The 13,782-nt window shown below is 40.5% G+C and overlaps 1 pseudogene, 1 gene segment (V, D, J or C) and 1 further gene; all 3 read right to left on the reverse strand.

Moving 5' to 3' along the window:
• The window catches only part of IGH (immunoglobulin heavy locus), a 1,293,408-nt gene that overhangs the window by 794,657 nt on the left and 484,969 nt on the right, over nucleotides 1-13,782 (reverse strand).
• Nucleotides 8,297-8,750, reverse strand: IGHV3-35 (immunoglobulin heavy variable 3-35 (non-functional)). The segment is given in 2 exon segments: nucleotides 8,297-8,603; nucleotides 8,705-8,750. Coding segments are annotated over 2 exon segments (353 nt in total), but the record flags the coding sequence as incomplete, so codon positions are not given.
• On the reverse strand, nucleotides 11,676-12,138 carry IGHV3-36 (immunoglobulin heavy variable 3-36 (pseudogene); annotated as a pseudogene). The gene is given in 2 exon segments: nucleotides 11,676-11,987; nucleotides 12,093-12,138. Coding segments are annotated over 2 exon segments (358 nt in total).

Raw genomic sequence — 13,782 nt, forward strand, 5'->3', positions numbered from 1 at the left:
TTAGGAAATAAGAGGCATAATCCATCCCTGCTTTAAGGTGAGAGACCTTCCTGACCTTCCATCATATTTAGTAGAAACTCTCATTGAGAGCCATAACAAACATTATTTGTTTACAGATCATACCTCAAAACTGAAACTGTTTTTCATAATGGCTATACCATTCTACATTTTCACAATTATGGAAAGCAGTATAAAGGCTCCTAAATGAATTAAAGCCAGAAATATTGTATGACCAGGAATCCTGTTTCTGGGAGTATATCCAAAGGAGATGAAATTACCACCTTGTGAAGATATCTGCATCCTATGTTTATTGAAACACTATTAATAACAGCAAACATATGGAAAAAATCTGTCAGTAGATAGACAAATGAATAAAGACAATGTGGTATATATGCACAATAGAATATAATGTTATCAAAGAAAGATGCTGCCATTTGCCACGATGGATCGATTTCCATAACCACCAACAGTGCACCCCATCCATTATAGCTTCTCCCTAGAGGATGGCAGGTCCTTATTCAGTAGTAACCACTGGCTGTGGTGGGAAGGCAACTTTTATGAACTGTTGAATTTTTCAGCATATCAATGTCTTAAAATATTCTGCTACATCTGCATTGATAAAGTGGAGTCTAACATTGGAGGTAAAATTAAAAGTGCTGAAGCCATCTAGACACCAAGTCATCAGATGATCCTGGCTGTGTCCTTGAGGGAGTGGAGCATATGTAGTACCATTTGGATTGGGGATTGGTGTGTTTCCAGTTGTAAGAAGAATAATTGTATTATTAGGCATAATTATGACTTTATTCTTGTCTTTATTTGAAGATTATGTATAATCTCAGGAGATGTGTATGGGTTCAAGTTGACAAAGGGTGGACTTGTAATGCTAAATACTGAGTGCCAACTTGATCTCACTGAAGGATGCAGAGTATTGATCCCGGGTGTGTCTGTGTCGGTGTCGCCGAAGGAGATTAACCTTTGAGCCAGTGGGCTGAAAAAGGCAGATACACCCTTAATCTGGGTGGCACAATCTAATCAGCTGCAAGTGTGGCCAGAATAAAAAGTAAACAGAAGAACATGAAAAGATTAGACTGGCTTCGCCTTCCAGCCTACATCTTTCTCCCCTGCTGGATGCTTCCTCATCTCAAACATCGGATTCCAAGTTCTTCAGCTTTGGGACTTGGACTGGCTTGTTTGCTCCTCAGCTTGCAAATGGCTTATTGTGGACCTTGTGATAGTGTGAGTTAATACTCCTTAATAAACTCCGTGTGTGTGTGTGTGTGTATGTGTATCTTACTTGTTCTGTCCCTCTAGGGGACACTGACTAATACAATCTTAATCCACAAGAAATTTTAAAAAAATAGGTGATTAGGAATTCCAGGATGGAATGCAGACTATATAGAAAATATCTTATGCCATTATACTAATGTATGAAATCAAAAGAGGTACTAAGTAGGTTCAGAAATAGTGTAGTCCATAAGATTAAAGAAAAAAGAAACTGCACGTCAGCACTGGACTCCACTTGATGATGTTCCACAAAAGAGCACAACTTACACAATCGGGTTCCACTCTACAGGAATCCTGGAAATGGACTACAAAGGGAATGGATGGTGTGTGGTGGGAGGGGGTTCCCCACGGTTGGAGTGCTAGGTTAGGGAAAGGCATAGAAGGAAGGTGAAAATCATTCATGTGGTATTAACTTAGGGTATCTCAGTGGATTTGCAAGTTTAGCATAATATAGGAACATAAATAAAAACCGTTTAGATGTGGGTATATATATATATGGGTTAATACACAACAAATACTTCCTGTATTGATTACTTGAGATGTTCTACAAGAAATTAACAAAAAGTACATCAAGAATCAAGATATGAGTTTTTAATACTATTCTTCTGTAAAAGGAACCAGCGGCTGGGTGCAGTGGCTCACACCCATAATTCCAACACTTTAGGAGACTGAGGTGGGCAGATCATTTGAGGTCAGGAGTTCAAGACCAGCCTGGCCAATATAGCAAAACCTCATCTCTACTAAAAATACAAAAATTAGCCAGGTGTGGTGTTGCACGTCTGTAATCCCAGCTACTTGGGAGGCTGAGACAGGAGAATCGCTTGAACTTGGGAGGTGGACGTTGCAGACTCTGTCTAAAAAAAATGAAAGAAAATAAAAGAAAAAAGGAACCAGAATTTCTTTGAGAAATGGCTAATGGTAGCACTTCAGAAAAGAATATAGGACGATAGTCTACAATTTCTTATGGTACCAGAAAATGAGAAAGGGTTACAAAACAAAGAATTGCTACTTTTGCATTTTTCTTGTTTGTTGGTCAATCTAGCTAGCAGTCTAACAATTCTGTTCATGTTTTCTGTTTTTATTTTCATAGAATCAGGGTGCACATGTGCAGAGTTGTAACATGAATATATTTCATAAAGGTGAGGTTTGTGCTTCTGATGTAACTGTTACCCCATAGTGAACATTGGAGCCAATAGCTGATTTTTTAACCCTCACTTTCCTCTCACCTTGCCTTCTTTTGCAGTACCCAGTGTCTATTGTTTTTCTCTATGTACATGTGTACCCATTGTTTGCTTTCCAATTATAAAAGAGAATTTGAGTTATTTTATTTAGGAAATGTCCTTCAACTCTATTCATGTTGCTGTGAAAGACACAATTTCATTTTTTATGGCTGCATAGTATTCCATGATTTACATCTATCATATTTTATTTAATCATCCACTGATTGACACTTAGAGAGATTACTTGACTTTTCTATTGAAAATAGTGTTGCAATAAAAATAGGAATGCAGGTGACTTTTTCTTATATAGAAGTTTCCTTTTGGGAGAAACATACCCACCAGGAGGGGTTACTGGGTCAAATGGTAATTCTAATTTTAGTTCTTTGAGAAATTTCTGTATTGTTTTTCATAGAGGTTGTACCAATTTGTATTCTCATCAAGCATATAAAAAGCATTATTTTTCCTATGCTTCTCTGCAAACATCTGTTTTATTTTTAATAGCCATTCTGACTGGTGGAAGATGCTATATCATGTTGTCTGTAATTTACATTTATCAGATGATTTGTGATGCTGAGCATGTTTTATTTCTGTTGAACACTTGTATGTCTTCTTTTGAGAAATATCTCGTTTTTGCTCACTCTTTTATGAAGTTGTTATTTCTAGTTGACTTATTTGAGTTACTTGTAGATTCTATATATTTGATGAATAGACTGCACATTTTTTTTTTTTTACCATTCACAGGTTGTCTGTTCACCATATTGGTTCTTTCTTTTGATGTGTAGATGATCTTTGGTTCAATTAATCCTGTTTGTCTAATTTTGTTTTCATTGCATTTGCTTTTGAAGTCTTAGTCATATTTTATTTGCTTAGGCCAATGTCCAGAGGATTATTTTTAGATTTTTTCAAGTATTTTTATGAGTTTATAAACATTGAATCCATATTCACAGTTAATTTGTGTCTATGATGATACAGAAGTCTCATTTTATTCTTCTACATAAGGCTATCTAATTCTCCCAGCACTACTTATTGAATAGAGGGTTGTTTCTCCAGTGTATATTTTTGTCAGTTTTGTCAAAGAACTGTTGGTTGTAGATATTTGGCTATATATCTGGGCTCTTGATTTTTTTTCTACCACTACCATGCTGCCTTTCTTATTATCTTTGTGCTGTGTAATTTGAAGTCAGGGAATGTGGTACTTCCAGCTTTGTTCGTTTTGGTTAGGACTGCTTTTGCTATTCAGAGTGTTTTTCGGTTCTATATAAATTTTAGGATTTTTAAAAATACATAATTAATTAGTTACTTGATAGAAATTGCATGGACTCTGTATATTGCTTTGGGCAGTGTATTAGTCTATTTTACACTGCTATAAATTAATACCTGAGGCCAAGTGATTTACAAAGACAAGAGGCTTATTTGGCTTACAGATCTGCAGGTTGTGTGAGAAGCATGGCACCAGCATCTGCTTCTTGTGAGGGCCTCAGGAAGCTTACAGTCATGGTGGAAGGCAAAGGGGGAGAAGGCTGTGTCATATTGTGAGGAGGGGTTACATGAGAGGGTAGCAGGATTGCAAGACTCTTTTGAACAATCAGATCTCACAGTAGCTAATACAGCAAGAATTCACTAATTACCATGGGGTGGATGCCAAGCCAGTCCTGAAAAATCTTTCCCCATGACCCAAACCACCCAGTTGGCCCCACCTCCAACATTGTGGGTCACATTTCACCATGATATTTGGAGGGGAAAACCCCTAAATTATATCATTGCACTCTCGGACCCAAAGTTCTCATATTCTTCTTACATTGCAAAATATAATCACCTTTTTTCAATAGTGCCCAAAATCTTAACTTCATCAACGTCCAACTCAAATTTTCAAAGTCTCATCTGAGTCTTAAGGCAATGTCCCTCCAGCTGTGAGCTTGCAAATTTAAAAAATAAAAGTTGTTTACTTCCAAGGTGCAATGATGATGCAGGCATTGGGTAAATAATTCCAATCCCAAAGGGATAAATTGGCCAAAGGAACAACCAACAGGCCCCACACACATATAAAACCCAGCACTGCAGATATTAAATCCTAACGCTACAAAATAATCTCTCTTGACTTTATGTACTTCAACCAGGGCACACTGGAACAAGGATTGGGTCCCCAAAACCTCAGGCAGCCAATCCCTATAGGTTTGCTAGGCACAGACCACGGGGCTGCCTTCACAAGTGAGAGTCAAGTGCTGGAAGCTTTTCTAGGCTGAGGGTGCAAGCTGCCCGTAGCTCTACCATTCTGGGGTCTTGAGGGTTGTGGCCACATTCCCACAACTTTACTATGAAGTGCCCTAGTGGGGACTCTGAATGGGGGCTCCAACTCCATCTTTCCCCATCTTTGGCACTGCTCTAGTAGAGGCTTTCTGTGGTGGATCCACTCCTGCAGCAGGCTTCTTCCTGGGCATGCAGGGCTCTCTACACATCTGAAATCTAGGTAGAAGCTGCACAGGCTCCTTCACTCTTGCATTTTGCATACCTGCCAGAATCCAGTTATCCCAGAACCATTTACTGAACACAGAGTTTTTTTTTTCCATTGCTTGTTTTTGTCAGCTTTGTCAAAGATCAAAGGGTTGCAGGTGTGCAACTTTATTTCTGTCTTCTATTTTGATCTATTTTTTTTCCTGCAGGTCTGCTTTCGTACCAGTACAGGCTGTTTTTGTTAGCAAGACGTTATGGTGTAGTTTAAGGTCAGTATCATGATGCCTCTGGCATTATTCTTTTTCCTTAGGATTGCTTTGGATATTCAGGGTCTTTTTTGGTTCCATATAAATTTTAGAATAGATTTTTTTCTGATTCTGTGAAGAATGATGATGATAGTTTTATGTAAATAGCATTGAATCTGAATTCCTTTGGGCATTATGACAATGTTTACAATATTGATTCTTCCAATCCATGAGCATGAAATGTTTTCCCATTTATTTGTATCATTTATGATTTATGTATGCTGTGTTTCATAGTTCTCCTTGTAGGGATCTTTCACTTTGTTATCTGTATTCCCGGGCATTTCATTTTCTTTGTGGATACTGTAAGTCGAATAGGATTGTGTTCTTGATTATACTCTCAGCTCGGATGTGGTTGGCTTATAGAAATGCTGGTAATTTTTGTCCATTGATTTTGTATCCTGACACTTTACTAAAGTTGTTTATTCTAGAATTATTTTGGCAGAGTTTTTAGGATTTTCTAGATATAGAATTATATCATCAGTGAAGATGGACGGATTGACTTCCTTTCCTATTTGGATGCTGTCTTAGTCCATTCTCGCACTGTAAAGAAACACCCGAGACTGGGTCATTTATAAAGATAAGTGTTTTAATTGGCTCATTTAGTATGATGTTAACTGTGGGTTTGTTGTAGATGGCTCTTATTCTGAAGTATGTTTCTTTGATGTCTAGTCTGTTGAGGGTTTTTATCATGAGTAGATGTTAGATCCTATCGGAAGCTTTCTCAGCATCTATTGACATAATCATATGCTTTTTGCTTTTATTCTGTTTACATTGTGAATCAGAGTTACTGTGGATATTGAACGAGCCTTGCATCCCAGGGGTAAAGCCCACCTGACCATGATGTATCACATTTTAAAGTGCTTCTGGATTCAATTTGATGGTATTTTGTTGAGGACTTTCAGGTCTATGTTCATCAGGACTATTGATCTCATATTTTTTTTGTCATTATGTCTCTCCTGATTTTGTGTGCCAAGAGCACACAGTAGAGAAAGGACAGTCTTTTCAATAATGGTGTAAAACTGGCATTCATATGCAAAAGAAATAAAATTAGGCCTTCTCTAACTCCATATAAAAAAATCAACTAATAGGCCGCGCGCGGTGGCTCACGCCTGTAATCCCAGCACTTTGGGAGGCCGAGGCGGGCGGATCACGAGGTCAGGAGATGGAGACCACAGTGAAACCCCGTCTCTACTAAAAATACAAAAAAAAATTAGCTAGGCGCGGTGGCCAGCGCCTGTAGTCCCAGCTACTCGGAGGCTGAGGCAGGAGAATGGCGTGAACTCGGGAGGCGGAGCTTGCAGTGAGCCGAGATCGCGCCACTGCACTCCAGCCTGGGCTACAGAGCAAGACTCCGTCTCCCAAAAAAAAAAAAAATCAACTAAAAATGGACATAATACCTGAAGCCATAAACTCATAAATGACATGGAGCAAAAAAAATTCCTGCCATTAATTCGGAACTGATTTCTTTGAATTTAATAACAAAGCACAGGAAAAACTATGTGCAATTATGGATCTGACAAGAAGTTCTGTCCAAATGTATAAATAACCCATACACCTCAACAGCAAATAACAAATGAACTGATAAAAAAGGGCAAAAACCTGGATAATTTTTTTCAGAAGATACATGCATGGCAAACAGAAAACGAAAAAGTTCTCAACATTCCTAATTATCAGAGGAATTCAAATGAGAAGCACAATGCAATATCAACTCACACTAGTTAATATGGCTATTATCAGAAATGTAACAGATGACAAATGTTGGCAAGAATGTGGGGGAAAGGGAAATATCCTGTGGTAGGATTGGTTACTTGATAAGTTAAAAATAAAGCTATCATATAATCTGGTGATCCCACTTCTTGTTATATATGCAAAGGAAATAAAATTACTTTGCCAAAGACATGTTCATTGCAAGATTATTAATAATAGTGTAGATTTGTAAAATAATTTAATGACTGTAAATGGATGAATGTATAAAGAAAATGTGTATACATACATCTGTATTTTGTTTGGCTTTGAAAAGAGGGAAATTCTGACATTTGCAACAACACGGATGGGCCTGGAGGACATGATGCTGAGTTGAATAAGCCAGATGCAGAAAGACAAATGCTGCATGATCTCATTTACATGTGGGATCTAAAATATTCAAGCTCTTGAAAGCAGAGAGTAGAATAGTGGGTCCCAGGACCTGGGAGGTGAGGGAAATTGGGTGATGTGTGTTAAATTGTACAGAGTTTCAGTTGTGCAGGTTGGATGAGTTCTGGAGATCTAACGTACAGCAATGGTCCTATAGTTAATACTGTATTGTAAAAATGATTGTTGCTGAAAGGGTAGATCTTAGGTGTTCTCATCAGACACTCACTCATGCAGTAAATTAAAAAAAATAATAAAATGGTAGCGCTGTGAGGTGATAGAAATACAAATTACCTGACCACCATGCGTATTTCACAATGTGTATCTGATATGGTTTGGATTTGTGTCCTGCCCCAAATCTCATGTTGTATTATAATCCCCAGTTGTGAAGGGGTGACCTGGTGGGAGGTGACTGGGTCATGGAGTGGGTCTTTCATGAATGGTTTAGAACTGACTCCTGGTGCTGTTCTCATGAAAATGTGTGAGTTCTCACAAGGGAATCCCCTTGAGGTTACTGTCCTGAGTCTGACTGGAGAAGACTCACCAGGCACCCCTGAGCTTCCTCACGACTCTGATGCTGGTGACCATGGTTGAGGACCTTTCATTCCCATAGGTGGCAATATACATATTGTGCATGTGAGAACGAGTCCTCATATACAATGATTAAAAAAATGTAGAGATGACATTGGTGGGCACAGAAATCTAAAATTAAAGAGTTTCCCTAGAGAAACTGTCAGAAGCAGAGGAAGTCCCAAATCCTGACAGGAAACAAACCCCAGCCTCCATGTGCACCTGCTCTGGGGTTGACTCTGATGAGTGGGTCCTGAGCGCCCCCTGCAGCTGATTTCCCCCAACGTTCCTGCAGGAGGTTTGTGTCTGGGCTCACACTTCCGACCTCTCACAGTGTTTCTCACACAGTAATACACAGCCGTGTCCTCGGCCCTCAGGCTATTCGTTTGCAGATACAGGGTGTTCCTGGAATTGTCTCTGGAGATGATGAATCGGCCCTTCACAGAGTCTGCATAGTGCGTCCTACTGCCATTCCAACTAACACCCGATACCCACTCCAGCCCCTTTCCTGGAGCCTGATGGACCCAGTTCATGTCACTGTTACTGAAGGTGAATCCAGAGGCTGCACAGGAGAGTCTCAGGGATCCCCCAGGCTGTACCAAGCCTCCCCCAGACTCCACCAGCTGCACCTCACACTGGACACCTGCAAACACAGAGACACCCTGGTCAGAAACTGCCACACAAATCCACTGTTTCTCTCACTCATGTCCACTCACTCAATATCCTTAGTTCTTCATGAATCACCTTTTAAAATAGCAGCAAGAAAAACCCAGCTCAGCCCAAATTCCATGGTAATTTGTTTGTTGCTGATGACAAAGTGGAAACACCTGAGAATCCCAGGGCTGGTGCTTCTCTCCCAGGGCTGCAGGGTCAGGACTGGGCTGCTTTTTATCAGGAAAGGGGGGGCCCTATTTGCATGTCTCCTATTTCACAGCGAGCTCTGAAGTGGGACACCTGAGGAGAGGACTGAGCCCAGAGTAATGAGAGTGAAACAACAAGCCTGAACAACTACAAATAAAGAAAAAAAAACACACTTGAACATATCAGAGTTGATGTCACAGAGCAAACATAAACTGTAAATTTGAGGAGATATAGCTTGGCAGGGAGACCCAGGATGCATATATGAGTGTGCCTGGGGAAGGTGCCGCTCCATGGCATTTAAGCTAACCTCAAAACATTTAGAGTTCCTTGAGGATGTACGCATTAATGGTGCTAGAGTGTGAAGCTTCTAATGCCATGTGTTGTTGCAGGCTTTCCTTACGAAGTTGGGAAATATCCCAGATGACCACACACTCACCCAAGGTGACCTCACACATCCCCAAGGTCACCTCACATATGCCCTGAATCACCTCACGCATCCCCAATTTCACCTCACATGTGCCCTGAGTCACCTCACACATCCCCAGTGTCACCTTACACATCCTGCAGGTCACCTCACACATCCACCAGGTCACCTCAAACATTTCCCAGGTCACCGCACATATACCCCACATCACCTCAGACACACCCTGGTCACCTCATACATACGTCAGGTCACCTCACGCTCACCCAAGGTCACCTCACACATCCCGCAGGTCACCTCGTAAATCCCCCAGGTCACCACATACATGCACCAGTTCACCTCACACATTCCTCAGGCACTTCACACCTGCCCCTGTTCACCTCACACATCCCCCAGGTAACCTAACACATGCACCAGGTCACCTCACATGCACCCAGGTCACTGCACACATGCCCTTTGTCACCTCACACATGCCCCAGGTCACCTCACGCATTCCCCATGTCACCTCAAACGGTCCCAGGTCACCATACACATTCCACAGGTCACCTCACATGTGCCCTAGGTGACTTCACCTGTACCCACCTCACACATTTCCAGGTCCCCACAGATGCCCCAGGTGACCTCATACCTCCTTAGGTCACCTCACACACACCCACATCACCACCAATCCCCGATGTCACCTGACATGTGCCCAAGTCACCTCACACACACCCCCAGGTCACCTCACATCCATCCTGGATCACCTCACACTCACCCGAGGTCAGCTCACACATATCCCCCACGTCACCTCACATGTGCCCCAAATCACCTTACATGCATCCACGTCACCTCACACTTGCTCTGTGTCACCTCACAAATCCCCCTGGCTTACCCGACATATCTCCCATGTCCCCTCACATGTGTCTCTGGTCACCTCATATGTGCCGTGTTCACCTCACACATACCCCCAGGTAATCTTACACAGCCCCCAGGTCACTTCACCTTCATACAGGTCACCTCACACATGCTATGATACATGTATATATTATGGAATTGTTAATCAAGCTATTTGACATATCCATCACCTCACACAGCTATCATTTCATTCTTTTTTTTTTTTTTGAGTTGGAGTCTCACTGTCACCCAGGCTGGAGTGCAGTGGCATGATCTCAGCTCACTGCAACCTCTGTCTCCCGGGTTCAAGCAATTCTCCTGCATCAGCCTCCCGAGTAGCTGGCATTACAACCGCGTGCCACCACACCTGGCTATTTTTTGTGTTTTTAGTGGAGACGGGGTTTTGCCATCTGGCCAGGCTGGTCTTGAACTCCAAACCTTGTGATTCGCCCGCCTCAGCCTCCCAAAGTGCCGGGATTACAGGTGTGAGCCACCGCGCCCAGGCTGTATCATTTCTTAGTGAGAAAATTTTTAACATTTGCATTTTTAGCCATTTTGAAATATATAATGCATTATTAGCCATATTTTCCATCTTGTGCATTAGAACACTGTAACTTTCTCCTTCTGTCTAACTGGAACATTTCACCCTTTGACCAAAATCTCGCCTTTTCCAGTCCACCCCTCCAGCCCCTGGTAACCAACACTCCACTCTACTTCTGTGAGTCTACCATTTAAACAAACTACAGTGAAATCGCGAATTACTTGTCTTCTGCGCCTGCCTGTGGAACTTCACATATGGTCCTCTAGAGTCATGCCTGCTGTTGCAAATGCAGGATTCCCTTCTTATTTTAGGATGAACATTACTCCATTGGGTACATACTACATTTTCTTTAGTAATTCATCCATTTATGGTAATTTAGGATGTTCCCACATCATTACTATCATAAATATTCCTGCAATGAACGTGGGGGCACAGATGTCTCTTTGACATACTGATTGCACTTCCTGTGGATACATAGCCAGTAGTGGGCTTGTTGGAAACTATGGTAGTTCTATTTTTATTTTTTGAGGAACCTCCATAGTATTCTCCATAATGTCTGTACTAATTGACATTTTCAGTAACAATATATATAGGCTCCCTTTACTCCACTTCTGCCCCAATACTGGTTATCTTTCATCTTCTTTAAAAATAGCTATTCTAACAGGTATGGGGTGATAATTTATTGTAGATTACATTTGAATTTTAAAAATTATTACTCATATTTAACATTTTATATATCTATATGTCATTTGTATGTATTTTTTGAAAAATGTGTATTCAAGTCATTTGCCTATTTATTAATAGGATCGTTTTGTAGTTGTTCTTGTCCTCACAAGATACGGCATCAGCTGCATGTATCCTGGACTCATTGCCACTGCACACCCCAGACCCAATGCCACCATGAACGTACTGGACTCAAGGATACTGCAAACTCCAAAATTGGTGTCCCCAAAACAGGAGCCCCTGAACACACCAAAGCAGCATCTCTGCATGTACCTAAACAAGGGATGCACACAATGCCACCACAGTAATACACAGACCTATCCTCGGCTCTGACGCTGTTCATTTGCAGATACAGTGATTTCTTGGCATCATCTCTGGAGAGGGTGAATCGACCCTTCACAGAGTCTGCATAGCTTGTGCTACCTACACAACAACTCATAAATGAGACCTACTCCAGCCCTTTCCCAGGAGCCTGATGGACCCAGCTCATCCAGTACCTAATAAAGGTACTAAAGGTGAATCCAGAGGCTGCAAAAGAAAGTCTCAGGGACCCCCAGGCTATAACAAGCCTCCCAAAGACTCCACCAGCTGCACCTCACACTGGACACCTGCAAACACACACAGACACCCTGGTCAGAACCTGCCACACATATCCACTGTTTCTCTCACTTGTGTCCACTCACACTCAATATCTCTAGTTCTCCATGAGTCACCTTTTACATTAGCAACAAGGAAAACCCAGCTCAGCCCAAACTCCATAGTGAGTCCTCTGTGTTCAGAGACCTGACCACCAAATGGAAACCCCTGGTACTTCTGGACTGGGGCTCTTCTCCCGTAGACGCAGGCAAGGCTGGTTTTCATCAGGACAGTGAGGGCCCTATTTGCATGTCTCCTCCTCTATAGCAAGCTCTGGGGTAGGACACCAGGAGAGCCGTGTCCAGAGCAGATGTGAGATTCCTGGAGGAGCTTAGTGTCAATGACAGCATTTGGGAAAATATAATTTCTTATTATGTGATTTTGCCATTAAAATTACTTAGCAATTATTATTTCATTTATTTTTTACATATTTGTACAAAAATAAATATAACTGCATTAAGCAAACCTTAAGAGATATGGAGAGATAAATAGAAAATAATAAAAATTAGGAGAAGACTTTAGCACCTCACTTTCAATGATGGATAGAACATCATTAAGAGAATTCTTAAGAAGACAGTGGACTTGAACAACACTATTGAACAAATTGACCTAATAGACATCTACAGAACCTTCCAACCAAGAGCAGTGTAATATGTATGCTTCCGAAGCAAAGACTAAATATTCTCCATGATAGGTCACATGTTAAGTAAAAAAAGGACTCTCAACATTTAAAGAAGTAATGCCAACCATTCTCTAACTTTTTCAAAAATTGGTGAGATGCCAACCTTCCAGTCTTTCTATAAGGCCCAAATTACCGTATTTTCAGTAATAGACAAGGTCACAAAAAAGTAAACTACAGACCAATATTCCTAGTAGACATAAATGAGCCCCCTCCACACACCAAATAATAGTCAACTAAGTTCCACAGGACTTTAGAAGGATCATACACCATGACCAACTCAAATTTATTTTTGAGATGCACAGATGATTCAAAATCCTCAAATCAATACATTTGGTATGCCAAATTAAATACGAAGAAGGTCCCATTAACTTCTCAGACAGAAAATAACATTAAAAAAATTCAAGGTTTCACCATAAAAACTCTACCCAAAATAGAAATACAAGAAAATAACCTAAACACAATAAAATTCATTATGAAAAGCCATAGCTGTTATCATACTTCATGGTGAAATGTTAAAATATTTTGTCTAATATCTGCAAAAGGGCAAGAATAAACTTGGAGGCATTTTACTCTCAGACTTCAAAATTAATTACAAACATAATCAAAACAGGATGGTACTGGCATAAATACATATAGAGAGCTCAGAAATAAACCCACGTATTGATGGCAAACTCATTTTCAAGTTGAGAACCAATATGAAGGCAAAGTGATTTATAACATTTTCTACACAACGGCTAAATCATACTCTCCCCTAAAGAGGGTGTTAAACAAACTGGGTTTTCACTTGCAAATAGTTAAGAATATTAGGTTAGAATAAACACAAAAAATCAACTCTAGATGGGTTAAACAGTTAAATGTATAGCCTGCAATTGTAAAATTCTCTCCCACCAAAAGGTTAGCAATGATTTCCTAAATTTAAGATTAAAAGCACAGACAACAAAAGCAGAATTGAAGGACTGGAACTACATCAAAATATAAAGATTTTGCAAAGCATGGAAAAAATTCCAAATCTACAGAATGGGAGAATATAGTTGCAAACCAGGCATCTGAAAAAACTGTTAATATTTAAAACATACATGTAACTT

This window comes from Homo sapiens, chromosome 14, assembly GCF_000001405.40.
Source record: "Homo sapiens chromosome 14, GRCh38.p14 Primary Assembly".
Lineage (NCBI taxonomy): Eukaryota > Metazoa > Chordata > Mammalia > Primates > Hominidae > Homo > Homo sapiens.